Here is a 20,965-nt window from a genome sequence, read left to right on the forward strand (position 1 = left end):
GTTTCTCCATGTTGGTCAGGCTGGTCTCGAACTCCCGACCTCAGGTGATCTGCCCACCTCGGCCTCCCAAAGTGCTGGGATTACAGGCGTGAGCCACCACGCCCAGCCAATAACTCATTATTTTCAAACTGTATTTTATTTATTCCTAACCTGCCCTCTAATTCTTAATAGGAAAAAATAACACCACCTCCTAGACTGTTATAAAACTGCCAAATCTGTTTTTAAATTTTCATGTTCTTTATATTTCTTTTCTTATACATAAGATGGCTAATTAAGTGTCCTTGTTTGAAAGGCCTTTCTGAGATGCTGGCTTTCTTAAAACTTTGTACTAACCAGGCAATGGAGCCCTTACCTGTATTGTCTTATTTCATCCTCACAATAAAGCTGTATAATAGGTGCACTTTAAATCTCTGATTTTCTAGATGAGGAAACTGAGGTACAGAGAAGTATCCAAGAATCTCAGAGTCAGAAGGTGTCAGAGTGGACATGCAAACCCAAATATTTCCAGCTCTGGCACCCTCACACTGACGACTGAACCACACTGCCTCTTAGGTTGCCCAGTATCTAAGTACACCAACCAAGCACTTTCCTGGCATCTTAAATGGGGGTAGAAAGGCTTAAGTTTAGATCTTGTGGTGTTTTAGGAAGAGCACAAGTGGTTTGTAAGGAAAATTCCTTTAGTGATTATCTAATTTCAGATTGTGGATGAAAACTCAAATCTCCTGCCTCCAGGGGAAGAAGGAAATATTGCAATCCGCATAAAACTAAACCAACCTGCTTCTCTGTACTGTCCACACATGGTAAGAAAATTTTCTTCTTTCCTAAATACTTTCATTGTTGCTACTAATCGTAGTGCCATTATTGTTGAGTACTTTATGATTTGCCAAATACTTTTGTCCCAATTTTTAATTTTGCAAATTTTTGAGTCTCCAAAAATGTTAAATAGTAGCACTCACCTACATTCACTTCTTATTAAGATTTTGCCCCATTTACTTCATATTTGCACATTTTTGATGAGACATTTGGGAGTAAATGCAGACATTATGACACTTTGTCCTTAAATATTTCAGCAGCATCCTCCTAATAAGGACTTTCTTCTTAAACATCAGCACCATCACATCTATGAAAATTAAAAATAATTATTTAATACTATCTAATATCTAGCCAATACTTAGACTTTCTCAATTGTACTCAGATGTGTTTTATACCTTTTGTAAATCCAGAATTCAATCAAAGTTCATGCATTTATTTGGTTCTCATATCTCTTTAGTTGTTTTTATCTATAACTGTTCCACCACCATGTTTTTCGTGACGTGGACATTTTGAAGAATAGAGGACGGTTGTGTTAAAAAATGCCTCACTTTCTAGGCTTACATATTGTTTCTTTATAATGAGATCCAGGATAAACATCTTTCTCAAGACTATTATGTAGATGATGTATATTTCTTATTTGCTTATGGGGGGAAACATTAGGTTGTCTCATTTTGGATGCTGATCATTTTGATCTTTTGATTAAGGAGGTGAGTGCCATTTCCATTGTAAAGGTACATTTTCCTCTTTGTAATTAGTAATAATCTGCCGTGTAACAATTTGAGACTCTGTAAATATCCTATTCTCCAATTAACTTTCACCCAATCATTTTAGCATCCATAGATGATTCTTTTCTTTTTGGAAACAATTATTAAAATAAAGAGTGGCTGGGCACAGTGGCTCATGCCTGTAATCTCAACACTTTGGGAAGCTAAGATGGACAGATCACTTGAGCCCAGGGGTTCAAGACTAGCCTGGGCAACATGGCAAAACTCCATCTCTACAAAAAAAAAATACAAAAATTAGCCAGGCATGGTGGCATGCACCTGTAGTCCCAGCTACTCAGGAGGCTGAGGTGGGAGGATAAACTGAGAGCAGGACGTCAAGAGTGTAGTGAGCTGGGTGTGATGGCACCACTGTGCTCCAGCCTGGGCAACAGAGCAATACCCTGTCTCAAAAACAAATAAATAAAATGGAGGGTGCAGAACGGTGATTTTCAAACTGCTATTTCTTATACATTAATTAGGTGGCATTATTCCATAAAGATGAGCAGTCCATTTTATCTATAAAGAGAGGCTTTCTTTTAACTACTTTTAAAATATTTATTTAGCCTTTCCTGATAATAAAACTCACTTGTGTTCAATATAGACAACTTTCAGAAATACAGAAAAGACCAAAGAAGAAAAGCATATTAACTCATAATGCCACCATTCTTAGCCACTATTAACATTTGATGTGTATATATCCTTCATTCTTTTTCTATTTATTTGTCTTGTTTTATAAAAGTGGGATTGTACTCTATCAGCTTTTGTGAAGCCTGTTTTTTTACTTATGATTTTCAGGGATCAGTAAATCTTATATGACAACTTTTTTTTTTTTTTTTGAAACAGGGTCTCACTCAGTCACCCAGGCTGGAGTGCAGTGGCACAATCTTGGCTCACTGCAACCTCCACCTCCCGGGTTCAAGCGATTCTACTGCCTCAGCCTCATGAGTAGCTGGGATTACCAGCTCTCACCACCACGCCTAGCTAATTTTTGTATTTTTAGTAGAAACAGGGTTTTACCATGTTGGCCAGGTTGGTCTGGAACTCCTGACTTCAAGTGATCCACCTGCCTCAGCCTCCCAAAATGCCAACAGCCACCGCACCCAGCCCTTATATGAAAACATTTTTAATAATTTTATAAAATCTTATCAAGGAGAACTATCATGATCTATTTAACATACCTGCTATTGTTGAAAATTTTGGTTACTTCCAATGTTTTATATTGTAAATATTTCTTCAATGAGTATCCTTGTTAACTCTTTAAATGCCTCTTTGAGTATCTCTCGTGGAGTTTTTGAGTTAAAGCCTAGGTAAAACGTTTTAAATATTTTAATAATTTCTGTGAGAGAATAATGCTGAATATTTCCAGACTGATAACACAACTTCAATACACTGAGACTTTAAAATCATGTTCTCACCCATAAGACAGATTCCAAAGAAGAGACCCAGATATCTCACATACCTACTGGGATTATTGTGCTGTTTGAGAATGAGCTGCTTACACAGCTTTTCACCAAAGTTTATTAGAACTCTAACAAGCAGGTTGTCCATTAGATCTAAGAATCTGGACACATTGGTGACGTGGTCTCTATGGCAATGAGTCAAATGCTGTTAGAATCTGGCCGGGCGCGGTGGCTCATGCCTGTAATCCCAGCACTTTGGGAGGCCAAGGCAGGCGGATCACCTGAGGTCAGGAGTTTGAGAGCAGCCTGGCCAACATGGCAAAACCCCATCTCTACTAAAAATACAAAAAAAATTAGCCGGGCTTGGTGATCGGCGCCTGTAATCCCAGCTACTGGGGAGGCTGAGACACGAGAATCACTTGAACCTGGGTGGCAGATGTTGGCAGTGAGCCGACATCACACCACTGCATTCCAACTTGCGTGACAGAGTGAGACTGTTTCAATTAAAAAAAAAAAAAGAATCTGTGAACACTCCATGGAACGATCCTGCAAAATGGGCCAATCTCATGCAAAGGGAAATTTTCACCAATCACTCTAATTGTGCTTCTGGTGTAAGAACCTTTAGCTGAAGCCACCTTTTTCTGATGGAATTTTGGTCAGGGGCGGTATGAAAATTAAAGGCACAATTCAAAGACAGGGAACAGTGATTGCATCTGATGGATGATGAGCCTGAGAAAATAGCAGCCAACACTCCTTACACATACTGTACCTGGCCTTGTGCTAAAATGCTGTGTCCATGTTGCCTCATTTAAGCCTCAGGACAAACCTCTGAGTGAAGTGCCATCATTACTCTTGTTTCTAGCTGGGACAAAAAAAAAAAAGCTGAAGTTAAGAGAAATGACCAAGGAAAGTTCTCCGTGTTTGTTGAGTTTTCTATGTGAGATCCCCTGGAGAGTGGGGATCCTGACTTATTTTTCTCAGTCTCCCCTGGGGCTAGCCAGAGTGCTCAATTCATATCACTAAATGATTGTGAGAGGGAAGTAAATGTAGGTTTCTGGATTCATCATTCTATCAGGTGAGCTGGGAGGAATATGCTTCAGCAAGAGGCCACATGCTTTACCTCACAGGTGACAGAGGGATCATGGATGAAGACGGCTACTTCTGGTGGTCTGGTAGAGTTGATGATGTTGCCAATGCATTGGGTCAGAGATTGTGAATGCTTTGGTTATTGCTATTGAGCCTGGGGCTGTGGGAGTTTGAAGAAGACTCTGGACTGCTTCCAATACGTAGGAATTATATTTCTAAAGTTTAGAAAATGCAAACAACCAAAAATAAAAAAATAAAACTCATCCATAATCTCATATTGTGGAGTATATTCTTCTAATCTTCTTTCTTCTTATACATAAACTTTTTTTTTTGGTAGAATTGAGTTCAGGGAGAAATGCTCTAGCGTAACTTGCCTTTTTCACTCAACAATGTAACAGAAATATTTTTCTGTGCAATTAAATATAAAAATTCATTTTTTAAATTAGTTTATCACGACCAATAAGTACACAGATCTTACATGAATACTGTCAGGCCTCTGAGCCCAAGCTAAGCCATCATATCCCCTGTGACCTGCACGTACACATCCAGATGGCCGGTTCCTGCCTTAACTAATGACATTCTACCACAAAAGAAGTGAAAATGGCCTGTTCCTGCCCTAACTGATGACATTATCTTGTGAAATTCCTTCTCCTGGCTCATCCTGGCTCAAAAGCTCCCCTACTGAGCACCTCGTGACCCCCATTCCTGCCCGCCAGAGAACCCCCCTTTTTCCTTTACCTACCCAAATCCTATAAAACGGCCCCACCCCTATCTCCCTTCGCTGACTCTCTTTTCGGACTCAGCCCGCCTGCACCCAGGTGAAATAAACAGCCTTGTTGCTCATACTAAGCCTGTTTTGTGGTCTCTTCACACGGATGCGAATGAAAAATAGCCCAATGGATGTCTACACACATACACACCCCTGTAACCGTCTAGATCAAGATATAGGATATTTTTAGCCTCCTGGGCTCTCTCATGTCCTCATACCTCTGTGAAAGCTGTACTTCTTTCATGAATTTTGGACGAATTTCTATGCCTAATAACAGTTTCAGAGACTGAGAAAAGGAGACTAAATTCTAAGGAGCAACAAATTCCAAGGGCAGATGGTGGCAAGTAGATACCATGGGTCATCCTGATTCAGAGCTTGCTGACCACAAAAATCACAGGAATGTTGAGAAATAGAAATCAAGATCTAGGTTTTATGGACTCATTGCTATTACATGCCACTGCTTCTGGGACGTGAGTCAGCAAACTTGCTTTCTCTCCACTATTCCACTCTGATCCTTGACCCAATTAAACAATCCCAACTATATTTTGCTCAGGAAGTCTCTCTCCTTTGAGCACTCCTTGTTGCAGTAGCAGTAAACGAAGTGCTTGCCTCTGCCTCTAACTGCTCTCAATTTGTACTTTGAGACCCTCCTCCACAAGTAGCAATTATTCTGACTTCTAAAGTGCAGGTCAAATCTGCCTGTTCCTGAATTTCATATAAATGGAATCATACAGTTTGCACCCTTTTGTGTCTGTCTTCTCACAAAATAATGTCTGGACAATTCATTTATGTTGTTGTATGGATCAACAGTCCATTCTTTTTCATTGCTATGCAGAATTCCATTGTATGAATACACCCAGAATTTATCCATTCTTATGTTAATGGTGACTGAGGTTGTTTCCAATTTAAGAATGCCTCCTTTGCCCAACACCGCTGCACCTGGGAAGTTAGGCATTTTCTCTCACCCTTGGGATTAAGTGTGCGGGTGGTCAAGCAGCAGCGATTTCCAAGCCCCCCTAGCAGCTCTCACAGCAGGTGTCACAAAAGAGTTTGCACCACTCCAAACAGTCAAAACGGGCCATCCCCCCACCCGACCCCCGCCTTCTCTGGATTTTAAAGACTGTGTAGGAGGAGAAAATGGGGACGGGGGTCCCCTGGTTAATTCATTTATCTTAAGTTCCCGTAACCAAACTAGCCCCTCAGTTTACGCCTTTGACCCTCAAAGTTCTTTCCACTTCGTACCGTGAGATCAGAATCCCTGAAAGAAGCTTCTTGCCCTACCCGGCTGACCATCCTTGGGCACTCAGCTGTGCTGGGATGCTGTTGCCCTATTTCCCGCGTAGAAACAACTGCTGGTGGCGCCGCCGGCTGAAGAGTGCAGAACTGTGGCCCTGAGCCAAGCTGGGGCAAATATGGGAGACGCGGGATGGGAGAGAGTGGGGAGAGAGGACGCTATGAGGATTCTTGGAGGGAGGGACCAGAGCAGAGGTGGTGAGTGGCAGGAGGAGGCAAATGTCCCCGCAACCAGGAAGTTCATCGGGTTGAAGTTTCCTCTGCCGTCGCCTCCTGCTCGCCAGCAGAGCTGAGCCTGGTGTGCTGCCTTTCTGGAAAGCCTGCCACCACCACCCTCGGCGTGGGATGCCGGCCCGCGAGGAACCTCGGGGACACACAAATGGCCGCACCTGAATCTGGCTGCCATTGTGACTCTGCCGCGCACGCGCAGCTCCATCCCCTTTGAGGCGCGCATGTGCTCGCCAAGGGGGCGCTTCTGTCAGGCCTCTGAGCCCAAGCCAAGCCATCGCATCCCCTGTGACTTGCACGTAAAAGCCCAGATGGCCTGAAGTAACTGAAGAATCACAAAAGAAGTGAATATGCCCTGCCCCACCTTAACTGATGACATTCCACCACAAAAGAAGTGTAAATGGCCGGTCCTTGCCTTAACTGATGACATTACCTTGTGAAAGTCCTTTTCCTGGCTCATCCTGGCTCAAAAAGCACCCCTACTGAGCACCTTGCGATCCCCACTCCTGCCCACCAGAGAACCAACCCCCTTTGATTGTAATTTTCCTTTACCTACCCAAATCCTGTAAAATGGCCCCACCCTTATCTCCCTTCGCTGACTCTCTTTTCGGACTCAGCCCGCCTGCACCCAGGTGAAATAAACAGCCATGTTGCTCACACAAAGCCTGTTTGGTGGTCTCTTCACATGGACGCGCATGAAAGCTTCCTCCAAAAGGAAAGCCAGAGGCACGCAGGCCTAGGTTGCCTCGCCGCCCCCTGCGCCTTTTCCTGCAGACTGGTGCATAGTATTTTTAAAAATATTGCGAGGACAACGTCTTCTCTGCGAGCCTGGGGAAGAGGCGAAACCACGGGAAGAGTTGAGATGTATCCAGTTAACCAGGTAGAAATTGTACCTCCAGGACTCATCAAGGCTAAATATAAAAGTTGCGTGGTTTTTTTGTTTTTGCTTTTTGAGACTGAGTCTCGCTTTTGTCGCCCAGGCTGGAGTGTAATGGCGCAATATCAGCTCACTGCAACCTCCACCTCCTGGGTTCAAGTAATTCCCCTGCCTTGGCTGGGATTACAAGCGCCCGCCACCACGCCCGGCTTTTTTTTTTTTTTTTTTTTTTTAAGTAGAGACAGGGTTTGCCCATGTTGGCCAGGCTGGTCTCGAACTCCTGACCTCAGGTGATCCGCCTGCCTCGGCCTCCCAAAGTGCTGGGATTACAGGCGTGAGCCGCTGCACCTGGCCAAAAGTTGTGTGTGTTTATCAGGGACAACCCCTGTGCTTTGAGTTCTACCTGAGCTGTGAATCTCCTGTTATTACTAATTTGTCTACAGATGAGTAAACTGAGGTTCAGAGAGATTACATGACTTATCCATGTCATACAGTGATCAAGAAGTGGAGCCAGGATTTGAACCCATGAAGTCCCACTCCAGATTCCTTCGTATAAGTTTACACGGAAAAAAATTTTTAGATAAGATGTCTAGGTGCCTTCTTTCCTGCCTGCTTTAAAAAAAAAAATCAGCTGGAAGAATTTTTTAATTGTTTTTGTTTTCATAATTGATAATCGTGTGGGGAGCACTAATTCCCCAAGTGGGTCACAAGGAGTTATCCTGAGCAGGAATGCTCTTACTGTCCCCCTTGCTCCTGTACTCATACCGTCTACCTCTTGGGGACACAGCACTAAGTAAATTTCACCGATTGAGTGTTCCTATGTTCTAGAAAATGGCACTCTACACTCACAAGGGGTCGTATATAAGCTGGCATTTCAACTATGTCTTCAACAGGCCATACCATCACCCTTTTATGCTGGCCATTTCTGGGTGGTGCAGATTGTGATAGATCCACTGGACTCCATGGTCATGTGCCCACTGCTGTGCCTCCTTTGCAGTAAAATGGGTCCTTGGTCCCACAAGGCCATGAGGGATCCTGCGCTAGTGGATCTAAAGATCTTTGTGTCCTCAGAAAGTGTTGTGTTTGAGGCCCTGTGGACAGCAAAGGCAAACCCAATATACCTATATGGGTCTATTCCTGACTGAATAAATAAATCACTGCACTTTCCAAAATGGAAGGGATCCAAGCTAGTCAGCTTGCCACCAAGTGGCTTAGCTGGTGTCTTCAAAAGATAGCACTGTTCAGTTGGTCATTCTTGCTGGAAGGTTGAACATTTGGCAGCCAATAGCTAGATTGGCCTTGAAATAGAAGCCCATCTTACTGCAACCACGTAGAGCCTCTGACAATCATGGATACCCCACCCACGCACCCATTACGCCAACACAGGGGTGCCCAACAACAGGCTGGCTCATGTCCATTGGTTAATTCATTTTGTCAACCTGGTCACTTACTGTCTCTTCCATGGTTTATTCTAATGAGGGTTAACAGAGGTCTATCCACATTCCTCTACTCCAGACCTCCTTGTCCTGATCTTCTCATCTTTACCCTCTGATCAGCCAACCACATCATTCACCACTGTCCATAAGTCCAGGCACATTTATACTGAAGCCACTTCTTTTGCCACACAAAGTAGATCATTAGGAATACTACCGGAAGCTCTGCCCAGTGGGAGGACTTCTTTTCTCCTTACAAAGCCAGCTCAAGAAGTACAGCAGTGCAGCCACCATTTCAGCATGCCCTTACATACCTAGCCAACTCATCCATGAATCAAGTCTGGGCTTCCTCTTCCACCATCTGCTGCTCATACGGGATCCCCCATCAGCCATGGGGAATTGCTAAGGGAGGGGCACAGCAGTAGAAAGAATGAGTATCCAGGCTTCCATGCCCCTACAGCTCACATATTTCCTTCAGCCCTGCTCAAGCCTTCCTCTCATCTCATGAGGGATTGCTCTGGAAGATGCCTGACCTTCTGACCTAATGAGAATGAGAGAACCCAAATCATGATGGGCAGTTCTGCCACCTGATGTCCCATGGTCAGGGGCTTTGTCTCTATCCAAGCTGTGGAAGAATGCCAGGAGTTATTTTATGAAAAGCATAAAGTTCTGTACTGCAGATGGCAGTCTTGTTCTAGAACCCAAGGGGCTTGGGTTTTTATTCTCCCACTGGTGTACCATCTTGAAAACTCTGACATCATAGGGTCTCCTAGATCACATGAACCAAGCACAGAGCCACTTCCACTATAGCCTGCACCTGCTGCAGATCACTTTTCTGCTCTGGGCCAGATCAAAGCTGGCAGCCTTGAAGGGAAACAGAAATCCAAGATGTCTTTGTTTTAAGGTGTGTTTAAAGTTGTGTTGTCCAATACAGTAGCCACTACCCCCATGTGTCTACTGAGCACTTGAAATGTGGCTTGTGACAAATGTTGAAATGATAATACTTTGGATATATAGTATTATATAAAATGTATTATTGGCCGGGCACGGTGGCTCACACCTGTAATGTCAGCACTCTGGGAGGCTGAGGTGGGCTGATCGCTTGAGCCCAGGAGCTCAAGATCACCCTGGACAACATAGCAAAACCCCACCTCTATTAAAAAATATAAAAATTAGCCAGGCACGGCGACTTGTGCCTGTAGTCCCAACTACTCAGGGGACTGAGGTGGGAAGATCACTTGAGACCAGGAGGTCGAGGAAGCCATGATTGTGCCACTGCACTCCAGCCTGGGTGACAGAGCAAGACCTTGTCTCAAAAAATATAAAAAAGAAAGTATTACTGGCCGGGCGTGGTGGCTCACACTTGTAATCCCAGCACTTTGGGAGGCCGAGGTGAGTGGATCACAAGGTCAGGAGTTCGAGACCAGCCTGGCCAACACAGTGAAACCCCTTCTCTACTAAAAATACAAAAATTAGCTAGGCATGGTGGTGCGCGCCTGTAATCCCAGCTACTTGGGAGACTGAGGCAGGCGAATGGCTTGAACCTGGGAGGTGGAGGTTGCAGTGAGCCAAGATTGTGCCACTGCACTCCAGCCTGGACGACAGAGCTAGACTCTGTCTCAAAAAAAAAAAAAGGTATTATTACAATTAATTTTACCTGCTTTTTTTGTCTTTTCACATTGCTACTAGAGAATTTTAAATTACATTCATGCGTTGCATCATACTTCTATTGGACAGCGATGAAGCAGCAATCACCCATTTACAGATTTACCAAGCTTGTGGACTATCTGCCACTAGCAAGGTACTGAGCTGAGTGCCGAGGAGAAAAGGCTGAAAAAGACAAAGGATCAGCTCTCATGCAAGGCTTCTTTCCTTTCACGAGATGAGTGATTAGTGTCTTGTGTGATGCATGCCAAGAAGGTGTCCCCTGGGTATGGAAGCATAGGAGAGTGGCATCCAAGTCATGCTGGGCAGTCAGGAAGCCTGTCTGGAGGAGGAGGTGGCTCAATCTCGAAAGACAACAGAAATTTATTAAATGTTAAAAGTAATCAAGGGGTGCAGGAAGAGCATACCAAGTCAGAGAAAACAGCTTGATCACAGTCTGCATGACTCTGGCTGAGTTTTTCCTCTTCAAGAAATTTTCTGAAAGCTTAGTAATTAAAGATGGCTACAGAGTTAGACTGTTCCTTCCAATCTTTTCATTTTAGAGGAAGCATGAAAGAGAAACAATCAGATAAATATGGTAGGCATGAAGCACAAAAAATAGGCCAAATCTCAAATTGCTCTCAGCAGTAATTTTTTTTTTTTTTTTTTTTTTTTTTTTTGAGACGTAGTCTCACTCTGTCACCCAGGCTGGAGTGCAGTGACACAATCTCAGCTCACTGCAACCTCTACCTCCCAGGTTCAAGTGATTCTCCTGCCTCAGCCTCCAGAGTAGCTGGAACTGCAGGCATGCACCACTATGCCCAGCGAACTTTTGTATTTTTAGTAGAGACAGGGTTTCACCATGTTGGCCAGGCTGGTCTGAAACTCCTTACCTCAAGTGATCCACCCACTTCAGCCTCCCAAAGTGCTGGGATTACAGGCATGGGCCACCACGCCCGGCAGAGCAGTAAATATTTGTATGTGCCAAATACTGGGGGCAAAAGGGAAGGGCTTCTTTGCCACATAACACAACTGGCACTTAGGGGTGGTAATGCTGACATTCTGTTTCATTCAGTCAGGAAATGAACTCCTCATACAGGCTATATTGAATAGTAATAATGGTCACCTGAAGCTGTTGGTGTTTGGCCTCCCCTGGAAGCAAGATATCTGTATGAAAGACCCACACCTAAGAAGTAATACTGACAAATGTCAGACATTTGATTGGCACATTATCTGAGGAGAGGGATTAGAGAAAGTTCTAAGTATCCATGACTCATCTATTCCTTACAATCAAAATCCAAATCATGACTGTTAATGTCTTTGTAAATGAGTCAGACCTGCTGTGGTTCAGAGACTTTTCATTTTATGTTGATTTCTAAGAATTGCATAGTTTAAGCCACCTTGACTTTTATAAGCGTAGAAACAGATGGGGTTTAAAGTAAGAACTCATTAACTGCCAAAAAATAAAAAAAAGAAATCGAGAGCTTTAACATGACATGATTTTCTGCCTGAACAGTTTCAGTTCTGCTTGTTGTGGCACTACAACAGCTCACGTGCATGAACTGTCCATCGTACATTCTGGCTTCAGAGTCTGTGGTATGAAATCCTGGTACTGATTACAATTCTTACTATTAGAGTATGTACCATGTTAGTGCATTCATAATGAAAGGTCATGAACTATTACCAAGGGTGGTGAGCACTGCTCAAGAATAGATGGTTGCTCCTTTGGAGGAAAGAGGGTTGCTTGGAGTACCCTGTCCGCCTCTCATAACAATCACTTAGTCTCAGTGTCTGGAGGGATGGGGGCACCACTGAGCCCATGAGGGATTAGTCACCAGGAGATAAACTGTGGTGACCTCAGATCTTGACTCAGGACTCGTTCTTAGCAGCCAGGGTCCTCAGTCTCCTCTGTGAGGAGGACACAGTGGCCATGTCCTGGGCTCTCTGCTGCTGCTGGACACTTTCCTGAGGTTGCTGCCCTTCATGAAGGGGAGCAGCTGTGATGTCAGCAACCAGCCTGAAGAGGGACTTACTAGGGAATGTTTCCAAGCCAACTGCTAATGCTCCCACCTATTATTTGGGAAGCATTCATTTCCTCAGATAAGCCTCAGAACAGCCCAATGCAAAGAAAACTTGATTTCATTAAAACAGAGCTAGGGGCCGGGCGCGGTGGCTCACGACTGTAATCCCAGCACTTTGGGAGGCCAAGGCGGGCGGATCACGAGGTCAGGAGATCAAGACCATGCTGGCTAATGTGGTGAAACCCCGTCTCTACTAAAAATACAAAAAAATTAGCCGGGCGTGGTGGCAGGTGCCTGTAATCCCAGCTACTCCGGAAGCTGAGGCAGGAGGATGGCGTGAACCCAGGAGGTGGAGCTTGCAGTGAGCCGAGATAGCGCCACTGCACTTCAGCCTGGGCGACATAGCGAGACTCCGTCTCCAAAAACAAAAAAAAAACAGAGCTAGGTATCTTATATTAGCTTTACAGAAAGAGGATTTCAAGCAAGCTTCGAAGAAATGTAAGAACAGAGCTTGTTAAGATGCAAGTTGCGGGGGAAAGGCCAGTAAATCTGAGAGAAACAAGAAACCCAAAACAAGAAGACAGGCCTCAGAAATCTCATCAGGCTTGAGTAGGAAATGGGACACATAATCAGATAACAGACACCACACTGCTTTGTAGTCTATACATTTATTGAGTAAAAACAAAATCAGTGTCAGACACGTTATATTTGATTGGGTTCAAATTTGGCTGATGTCCAAATGCAGCAGAGAAGAACGGTGGGGCGAAGGGACACAGTGTTGCTGACAAGGTGACACTGAACAAAACAGTTTTCCTTTAATTGTAAAAGCGGGCATCGCACAGCTGGTGTGAGTCAATTAACCAAGGCAGGGAGGGGACTCAATGTTTTACAAGCAGAGGGAAAACCAAAGTAAGCAGAGAACTTTCAAGAGAGGAGAGGGCCAGAACACTGAGAGAAAAAGCTGCAGCAGAGGCCTGCTGGAGAACAGTGGTCAGATCTGCTGGCTCACTTGGGGAACACAGTGACCACTTCATAACCCTCAGGTGGTGTGACTCGCTCCCGGGCATGCTTCTCACAGTAGATTTGATCCTCCACAAAGAAATGGCCCTTCTGTTTCAGGTTGGTGCCACAGTCAGTGCACACATAACACTCAGGGTGGCGGTGACGGTCCCGCAGCTTCACAAACACACCACTACAGAAGCAAGGGAGGGAAGGGACTCCATCAGTGACAAGCACCTGCAGGTGGCACCTGAGCAGGTGGCACCATCCTTCCTGAGCAGGGGCCTGGGGCTTCTCCCCAGGAACCCATCACAGGGGAAACCAGGGCCTCCCAACTGGCCTCCAATCATAAGGGACTTGCTTCTCCTTCCCAGGGTCCAGAGACATTTTTCCAAAAACCCCTCCTACTTCAACAGGGCAGCCCTGATTTTTCTCATTTTACATGTTCATAACCTAAGGGCTCCGCAGTGAAGGAAAACCTTCACAACCTGGCTCTGGGACACAGGACCTTTCTGGCCTCTCTGTTGCATTTTTCCAGGAGGGATTTGTCTCCCTCACAAGCAAAATGTGCAACATCCAGCACTTTCCACATTTTCATGGTTTACCCAACCTGCAGGGTCTGCAAAGGCTGTGGGAAGCAGATACTCACACAATCCCAGTGCCACATTTGTCACACATAGGCAACTTCTGAGCATTTCCAATCGACGCAGCCACTTTAGTGACAGGAGCTTTAACACTTCTGAATCCTGAGGGCTTGTTGGGATCCCCTGAAATGAGGAAAACACTGTCATTGGCCAGGAAGGGCAGAATTGCATAAGTATCACTCAGCTCTTCAGAACCACTTATAAATATATGTTCAAGCAAGGCCATGGGAACTGGAGTGACTCTGCTCTGTGATCCTGGGCAAGTAACTTAGCCTCTCTGGTCCCCAGTTTATTTTTCTATAAAATAGGAGATTAACACCTGGCCAAAGAAAAGCCCAAAAAGCCAAGACAATCCTAAGCAAAAACAATAAAGCTGGAAGCATCATGCCACCCAAATTCAAACTATATTACAAGGCTACAGTAATCAAAACGACATGGTACTGGTAGAAGAACAGAGAACAGAGAACCCAGAAACGAGACCACACACCCACAACCATCTGATCTTTGACAAACCTGACAAAAACAAGCAATGAAGAAAGGATTCCCTATTTAATAAATGGTGCTGGGAGACCTGGCTAGCCATATGCAGAAAATTGAAACTGGATCCCTTCTTTACACCATATATAAAAATCAGCTCAAGATGGATTAAAGACTTAAATGTAAAGCCCAAAACTATAAAAACACTACAAGAAAATCTAGGCAATACCATTCAGGACATGGGCATGGGCAAAGATTTCATGATGAAAACCCGAAAAGCAATTGTAACAAAAGCAAAAATTGACAAATGGGATCTAATTAAACTAAAGAGCTTCTGCACAGCAAAAGAAACTATCATCAAAATGAAGAGACAACCCACAGAATGCGAGAAAATTTTTGCAATCTATCCATCTGACAAAGGTCTAATATCCAGCATCTGCAAGGAACTTAAAACAAATTTACAAGAAAAAAATAAGCCGGGCACAGTAGCTCACTTCTGTAATCCCAACACTTTGGGAGGCCGAGGTGGGTGGATCACCTGAGGTCAGGAATTTGAGAATAGCCTGGCCAACATAGCCAAACCCCCTCTCTACTAAAATTACAAAAATTAGCCAGGTGTGGTGGCATGCACCTATAGTTCCAGCTACTCAGGAGGCTGAGGCAAGAGAATCACTTGAACCCAGGAGGCGGAGGTTGCAATGGGCTGAGATTGTGCCACTGCACTCCAGCCTGGGCAACAGAGCGAGACTCCATCTCAATAAAAGAAAAAAATAACCCCATTAAAAAGTGGGCAAAGAACATGAACAGACAGTTTTCAAAAGACATACATGCGGCCAACAAACATGAAAAAAAGCTCGACATCACTGATCATTAGAGAAATACAAATCAAAACCACAATGAGATACCGACTCACGCCAGTCTGAATGGCTATTATTAAAAAGTAAAAAAACAACAGATGCTGGCAAGGTTGTGGAGAAAAAAGAACGCTTTCACACTGTTGGGATGTAAATTAGTTCAAACATTGTGGAAGACAGTGTGGTGAGTCCTCAAAGACCTAGAAGCACAAATACCATTCAGCCCAGCAATCCCATTACTGGATGTATACCCAAAGGAATATAAATCATTCTATCATGAAAATACATGCACTCTTACGTTCATCACAGCACTCACTATTCATGATAGCAAAGACATGGAATCAACCTAAATTCCCATCAATGATAGACTGGATAAAGAAAATGTGGTACGTATACACCAGGGAATACTATGCAGCCATAAAAAGGAACGAGATCTTGTCCTTTGCAGGGACATGGATGGAACTGGAAGCCATTACCCTCAGCAAACTAATGCAGGAACACAAAACCAAATACCACATATTCTCACTTGTAAGTGGGAGCTGAATGATGAGAACAGATGGACACATGGTGGAGGGACAAGACACACTAGGGCCTGTCAGATGGTGGGGAGTGGGGGAAGGAGAACATCTGGAAGAATGGCTGATGGATGCTGGGCTTAATATCTAGGTGATGGGATGATCTGTGCAGCAAACCACCATGGCACGTCATTACCTATGTAACAAACCTGTGCATCCTACACATGTACCCCTGAACTTAAATGTTGGAAATTTAAAAATAAATAAAGTTCTTAGAAAAGAAATCCACATCACAGATAGAACAAAACCATCAGAATACAGCATGCTACAGCAGGCAGATAACAATCATCTCCTACAGAGCAGAGGAAGGAGCCTTTCTGTAGTCAGCCTGGTGCGTGTAAAATAAGCCCCTAGTAGCTAGATGCTGAGCTGCCTAAGGCCCCACTCATCACATCTTAGGTAACAAAGCCCTGTACCATGGTAGCTATTAATAATGGTAAAAATCACCTGGAGGCCTTGTTAACACACAGATTGCTGGGCCCCACCCCCAGAGTTTCTGAGCCAGAAGGCCCAGGATGGGGCCTAAGACTGCATTTCCAACAAGTTCCCAGGCGCCACTGATCCAAGAACCACTGGACAAGAGCAAAGAAACAGCTTCCTGTGCCAGGTGAGGGGATGAAGAGAGGGTCACCCCATGACTGCAGTCACGTCGGGCAATCGCGGGGCTGACAGACAAGGGCCTTAGCTCTCTTGTTCTTTCAGAAAGTGAGTCCCTGTATGCTGACCAATCCTTCCGAACCAAAAATTGAGACACATGTTCACACAATGGACATTTATTAATTGTTTATTTTTACTGATTAGAGATAGCATCTCGCTATGTTGTGTCTCAAAGTCCTGCCCTCCAGCGATCCTCCCACCAGAGCTTCTCCAGTAGCCACTGTGCCTGGCAACAAGGGGCATTTAGAATACATGGTTGACTGTATTTTGACCACAATTACCCCGCCCCTCTCTTGCCATGCTTACCTCCAGTCAGTGGTTCCCTACTGGGGGCAGTTTTGTCTCCTAGAGAGCAGTTTCGATTGTCACAGTGAAAGGGGATGCCACTGGCGTCTAGTGGGCAGAGGTCAGGGATGCTGCTGAACATCCCAAAATACACAGGGCAGCCCCACAACAAGGACTCATATGGCCCAAAATGTCAATAGCACCAAGGCTGAGAAACCCTGCTCTCGATGGAGTAGACTTCCCCATCCTGACTTTAGCCAACGTGAGCAGATGTGAGCCTTATACAGGCAAAAGCACTAAGGGCACTTGTGTGGTTTGGCCCTGTTCCCACAGAGGTATTGCCTCTGCCATGAAAACAGCAAGCACCAGAGTGCCTCTCCCTTCCCTGGGCTTGAATGAGAGGACTCGGGGCCTGGTCCAGCCCTGCCAAGCCCAGCAGAGCCACAGCTATCCGGTAGCCCTCATAAATACAGATTACCCACTGCTGAATAATACAATATGAGAGATGGTTTGGGGTACTTGGCTGGCTTATGGGGAACAACAAGAGGGTATATGTGAATGCAGCCTGAACTCTCAATAGCCCTATCATGCTGCCATGGCTCAGACTTAGGCTTCCCCCCTCAGAGCTGGGACTATTCATCGCTGGGAACCGATGCACACAGATGTCCACCTGGCAGCACATGAGATGGGGCTGAGATTAGGAGGCTCCATGGTTTTAAGTGGTGAGCTCTACAGATGGGCTTGGGGAAGACTCAGTTCTGCCCCACCAGCAGGTGCATAAGGAGAAACCACCTTGGTGCTTCTGTTCTCCCCGAGCCTAGGGCAACTTCTTGCCCTTCCCAAGCCTTCCTCCCTTCCTTTGGGAGGAGGCCAAAGTTCCAACTTTGTTCACCATATATTTTACCTGTATTAATTTTTTTAATATTGCATTTAAATGTCATTTTTTTTCATGATTATTGAGTTTTCCAGTGCCCCCTTAAATTCTGCACTCAAGGCCGGGCGCAGTGGCTCATGCCTGTAATCCCCAGCACTTTGGAAGACCAAGGCGGGCAGATCACTTGAGGTCAGGAGTTCGAGACCAGCCTGGCCAACATGGTGAAACCCCATCTCTACTAACAATACAGAAACTAGCCGGGCATTGTGGGACGTGCCTGTAGTCCCAGCTACTTGGGAGGCTGAGGCAGGAGAATGGCTTGAACCCGGGAGGCGGAGGTTGCAGTGAGACGAGATCACGCCACTGCACTCCAAACCTAGGCGACAGAGGTCTCAAAAAAAAAAAAAAAATTCTGCCCTCAAAGCAGTGCCTCCCTCACCTCACCCTGATCCTGGCCCTTCCTAGAGGGATCTCAGAAGGGCCTGGGTGGGCATCTTCTCTAAGCATCATGCCTCAAGCATCCCAAACGGATTCCCTCATTTTCTGGCTGATGAAGCCATCTGGCTGCCTGCCCATGACAAGAAGGAAATGGCAGCATCTCTACATACCTGGGCAGTTTGCAAAGGCACTGATTGGGCTGAGAACCAGCTCAATGAGGTCGGGCTCTCTTATGCAATGGGCTTTTCACATTTCACACTTAAAGACCTGGAATCCACTCAATCCATAGAAAAATCACCAGGAAAGAAGAGAGGCTGCAAAAGGGTAGAATGAGAAAAAGCCAGGAGGGACATGAAATCTCCATTAGGTAGGAGAATCCACATCTTTTTCTAGAATGAAGAGACCTGACCTGGATAAAACTGGGCACAGCTTGGGGGAGAAGGCTGCCTGCCCAACAGAAGACTCACTGTGGCCTGTTCAGCCCTACAGTGCCACCTGTTGGCTTCAAGGTTTTTTCTCTCACATATCCAGCCAACACTGCGAATCCAGAGAAATCTCTCTTCCTTTCTTCTCAACTAGCTTATAGTGAAAATACTAGCTTCCTTTGAACTCCAGGCAACTACAAAAATTTCCAAATTTCTCTTCTTACAGTGAACCCTGTATCCCAAATATTTCTGGAAAAAAAGTGAAAATTAGCTAAATAAACCACAGCTGTTTTTCTGTCCACTTCACTGCTCAACAACCTTGCATGACTTCACACTACCTTTAGAATCAAGCTCATGATTCTTAACCTTGCACCTGGTGGTCCCCCATATCTAACTCGAGATCACCCAAGGATTCACCTGGAACCCTGGGTAACCAGCCAAAACGAGCCTCGGTACTTGCTGAACTAGTCTCCAGTTTTCTCATCTCAGAGCCTCTGGCCACCACTGTGTTTTCTCAGCCCATGACTGCTCCTTCCAAACCTCCAATCATTGAAAGTCTCCTTCAATGGACAGATGAATGGATAAATAAAATGTAATATACACAAACAACGGAATAATACTCTGCCTTAAAATGGAAAGAATTTCTGACACATGCTACATGGATGAACCCCGAGGATATTAAGCTAAGTGAACTAAGCCAGGACCAAAAGGACAACTACTGCATGACACCACTTATACAAGGTATTTAGAGTAGTCAAATTCATAGAGACAAGCAGGAGGGTGGTTACCAGGAGCTGGAAGGAGAGAGGAATGGTGAAATACTCTTTAATGGGAATAGTTTCAGTTTTGCAAAATAAAAGAGTTCTATGGATGGATGGTGGTGATAGTAGCACAATCACATAAATGTACTTAATACCACTAAATTGTACACTTAAAATTTGTTAAGATGGTAAATTTTATATTAAGTATATTTCACCATTTTTCTTAATATAACGGCTTCTTCTGCCTGCAAGTTTTGGAATTTGATCCAGAACAAGATGAAGGTGAGGAACCAAGGGCCCCTTTCTCCTAGTCTAGAAGCTGAATTTTACCCAAAATGAGACAGCTTGTGTTGGGTCTTCAAGGTTTATGACCAAATACTGCTGTAGCCAAGCTTCCTTCAGGGAGGGGCCTTACTCACTGTGCACCTGGCAGTTTACAGACGTGGCTTTACTTAACCCTGTAAACAATCCCATGAGGTCCTGGCTATTAGCTTCAATGGATCTGTGCAGAAACTAGAGCTTAGAAAGGCAAGCAACTTGCTGGAGGTGTCACAGCAGGTCAGAGGCAGATCCTGGATGCCAGTGCTCTTTCTGCCCTGCAGCACTGCTTTCTGAACCAGAGGCGTTTCTGAATGACAGGACCTCTCATCAACTGCTTTTACTACCTTAACCTTTCACCATTTTATCTCAAATAAAAACAGGCATTTGGGGCCGGGTGCAGTGGCTCACATCTGTAATCCCAGCGCTTTGGGAGGTCCAGGTGGGCAGATCACCTGAGGTCACAAGTTCAAGACCACCCTGGCCAACATGGAGAAACCCCATCTCTATTAAAAATACAAAAATTATCTGGGCATGGTGGTACACATCTGTAATCTCAGATACTTGGGAGGCTGAGGCAGGAGAATCGCTGCAACCTGAGAAGCGGAGGTAGCAGTGAGCCGAGATCATGCCACTGCACTCCAGCCTGGGCAACAGAGCAAGACCCTGTCTCAAACAAAAACAAAAACAAAAACAAACAGGCATTTGGGTTCCTTCCCCGAAGAGCCTTCTGCATGTAAAGAATGTTTAGAATGGAATTTATCCTGTTACTGTCAGTAAAGATTTAATGCGGGTACACAGTAAGAGATACAGGAGAAACTACAAGATTTGCTATCTCCCTCTTCCCTTCCAGCAGAATCTTGATTCTCTTTGGGGCAAGAACCATCCAGACTAAGGGCTAAAATTTTTTTTAAAAAGAATCCTAATTCCCAGACTCTCGTTTAACTAGGTGTAGCCAGGTGACTAAATCATGGTCAATAAAATGGAAGAGTAGTGTGGGACTTCTGGGAAGGAGAAAGCTGGCTCATCTGAAATTGGAACTCCCCGGTTAGCATTATCTCCCTTCTTCCTCCCTGTCACCTGGGGGTAAGCATGATGGTTGGAACACCAGCTGCTAACCAGGACCACGAAGTAACCTTGGGAATAGAAGCCACAAATTTGGGTGCTGGAGTGCCGGATAGGAGTCCAGATCTTGAAGAGCATGGAGCTTCCAAATCCATGCTCAGGTCCTTCTCTGTGAGCTGAGATGAGCTCTGCAGCATGTCTAGTTGGGCACGGATGAACTTGACCTTGCCTCTCATTGAAGGGTTTCACATCCACGTAAGAGTGA

The 20,965-nt window shown here is 44.9% G+C and overlaps 2 protein-coding genes and 1 long non-coding RNA gene across 5 annotated transcripts in view, besides 10 other annotated features; 1 reads left to right on the forward strand and 2 right to left on the reverse strand.

The window, feature by feature from the left end:
• Positions 1 to 4,187, reverse strand: part of LOC107984257 (uncharacterized) — a 125,247-nt gene extending 121,060 nt beyond the window's left edge. Inside the window, exons 1-3 of the long non-coding RNA XR_007062253.1 lie at positions 4,098 to 4,187; positions 3,747 to 3,839; positions 957 to 1,120 (exon numbers count right to left, since the gene is read on the reverse strand). This is a non-coding gene — a long non-coding RNA (uncharacterized LOC107984257). The remainder of the gene's footprint in view (positions 1 to 956; positions 1,121 to 3,746; positions 3,840 to 4,097) is intronic.
• The window catches only part of ACSM6 (acyl-CoA synthetase medium chain family member 6), a 34,692-nt gene extending 30,354 nt beyond the window's left edge, over positions 1 to 4,338 (forward strand). For 2 of the 3 annotated variants that reach the window (XM_047424639.1, XM_047424638.1), the window contains one exon: positions 699 to 1,061. In XM_047424639.1, coding sequence (XP_047280595.1) covers positions 699 to 1,061 — 363 coding nt within the window. Of the gene's footprint in view, positions 1 to 698; positions 1,062 to 4,052 lie in introns of those variants that run through there. The other variant, NM_207321.3, reaches the window with a different exon arrangement.
• Positions 2,804 to 3,545: an enhancer, noted in NCBI's record as "H3K27ac-H3K4me1 hESC enhancer chr10:96987152-96987893 (GRCh37/hg19 assembly coordinates)". NCBI's record gives its function as "activates a minimal SCP1, AML or CMV promoter by ChIP-STARR-seq in naive H9 embryonic stem cells {active_cell/tissue: H9 hESC(naive)}" and the evidence as "EXISTENCE:reporter gene assay evidence [ECO:0000049][PMID:30033119]".
• Positions 4,290 to 4,859: an enhancer, noted in NCBI's record as "OCT4-NANOG-H3K27ac-H3K4me1 hESC enhancer chr10:96988638-96989207 (GRCh37/hg19 assembly coordinates)". NCBI's record gives its function as "activates a minimal SCP1, AML or CMV promoter by ChIP-STARR-seq in naive H9 embryonic stem cells {active_cell/tissue: H9 hESC(naive)}" and the evidence as "EXISTENCE:reporter gene assay evidence [ECO:0000049][PMID:30033119]".
• Positions 5,681 to 5,975: a silencer, noted in NCBI's record as "tiled region #8644; HepG2 Repressive non-DNase unmatched - State 23:Low, and K562 Repressive non-DNase unmatched - State 23:Low". NCBI's record gives its function as "represses a minimal TATA promoter and a strong SV40 promoter by Sharpr-MPRA in HepG2 and K562 cells {active_cell/tissue: HepG2 | K562}" and the evidence as "EXISTENCE:reporter gene assay evidence [ECO:0000049][PMID:27701403]".
• Positions 5,999 to 6,567: an enhancer, noted in NCBI's record as "OCT4-NANOG-H3K27ac-H3K4me1 hESC enhancer chr10:96990347-96990915 (GRCh37/hg19 assembly coordinates)". NCBI's record gives its function as "activates a minimal SCP1, AML or CMV promoter by ChIP-STARR-seq in naive and primed H9 embryonic stem cells {active_cell/tissue: H9 hESC(naive and primed)}" and the evidence as "EXISTENCE:reporter gene assay evidence [ECO:0000049][PMID:30033119]".
• Positions 5,999 to 7,137: a biological region, named in NCBI's record as "OCT4-NANOG-H3K27ac-H3K4me1 hESC enhancers GRCh37_chr10:96990347-96990915 and GRCh37_chr10:96990916-96991485".
• Positions 6,441 to 6,735: an enhancer, noted in NCBI's record as "tiled region #568; HepG2 Activating non-DNase unmatched - State 23:Low, and K562 Activating non-DNase unmatched - State 7:EnhWF". NCBI's record gives its function as "activates a minimal TATA promoter and a strong SV40 promoter by Sharpr-MPRA in HepG2 and K562 cells {active_cell/tissue: HepG2 | K562}" and the evidence as "EXISTENCE:reporter gene assay evidence [ECO:0000049][PMID:27701403]".
• Positions 6,568 to 7,137: an enhancer, noted in NCBI's record as "OCT4-NANOG-H3K27ac-H3K4me1 hESC enhancer chr10:96990916-96991485 (GRCh37/hg19 assembly coordinates)". NCBI's record gives its function as "activates a minimal SCP1, AML or CMV promoter by ChIP-STARR-seq in naive and primed H9 embryonic stem cells {active_cell/tissue: H9 hESC(naive and primed)}" and the evidence as "EXISTENCE:reporter gene assay evidence [ECO:0000049][PMID:30033119]".
• PDLIM1 (PDZ and LIM domain 1) overlaps positions 12,981 to 20,965 on the reverse strand; it is a 53,432-nt gene continuing 45,447 nt past the window's right edge. The window contains exons 6-7 of the mRNA NM_020992.4: positions 13,977 to 14,094; positions 12,981 to 13,520 (exon numbers count right to left, since the gene is read on the reverse strand). Of these exons, the coding sequence (NP_066272.1) occupies positions 13,334 to 13,520; positions 13,977 to 14,094 (305 nt within the window). The 3' untranslated portion in view covers positions 12,981 to 13,333. The remainder of the gene's footprint in view (positions 13,521 to 13,976; positions 14,095 to 20,965) is intronic.
• Positions 16,623 to 17,286: an enhancer, noted in NCBI's record as "H3K27ac hESC enhancer chr10:97000971-97001634 (GRCh37/hg19 assembly coordinates)". NCBI's record gives its function as "activates a minimal SCP1, AML or CMV promoter by ChIP-STARR-seq in primed H9 embryonic stem cells {active_cell/tissue: H9 hESC(primed)}" and the evidence as "EXISTENCE:reporter gene assay evidence [ECO:0000049][PMID:30033119]".
• Positions 17,287 to 17,950: an enhancer, noted in NCBI's record as "H3K27ac-H3K4me1 hESC enhancer chr10:97001635-97002298 (GRCh37/hg19 assembly coordinates)". NCBI's record gives its function as "activates a minimal SCP1, AML or CMV promoter by ChIP-STARR-seq in primed H9 embryonic stem cells {active_cell/tissue: H9 hESC(primed)}" and the evidence as "EXISTENCE:reporter gene assay evidence [ECO:0000049][PMID:30033119]".
• Positions 20,822 to 20,881: an enhancer, noted in NCBI's record as "active region_3792". NCBI's record gives its function as "activates an Ori minimal core promoter by ATAC-STARR-seq in GM12878 lymphoblastoid cells {active_cell/tissue: GM12878}" and the evidence as "EXISTENCE:reporter gene assay evidence [ECO:0000049][PMID:35858748]".

The sequence above is a fragment of the Homo sapiens genome, chromosome 10 (assembly GCF_000001405.40).
Source record: "Homo sapiens chromosome 10, GRCh38.p14 Primary Assembly".
In the NCBI taxonomy this organism is placed as follows: Eukaryota; Metazoa; Chordata; class Mammalia; order Primates; family Hominidae; genus Homo; species Homo sapiens.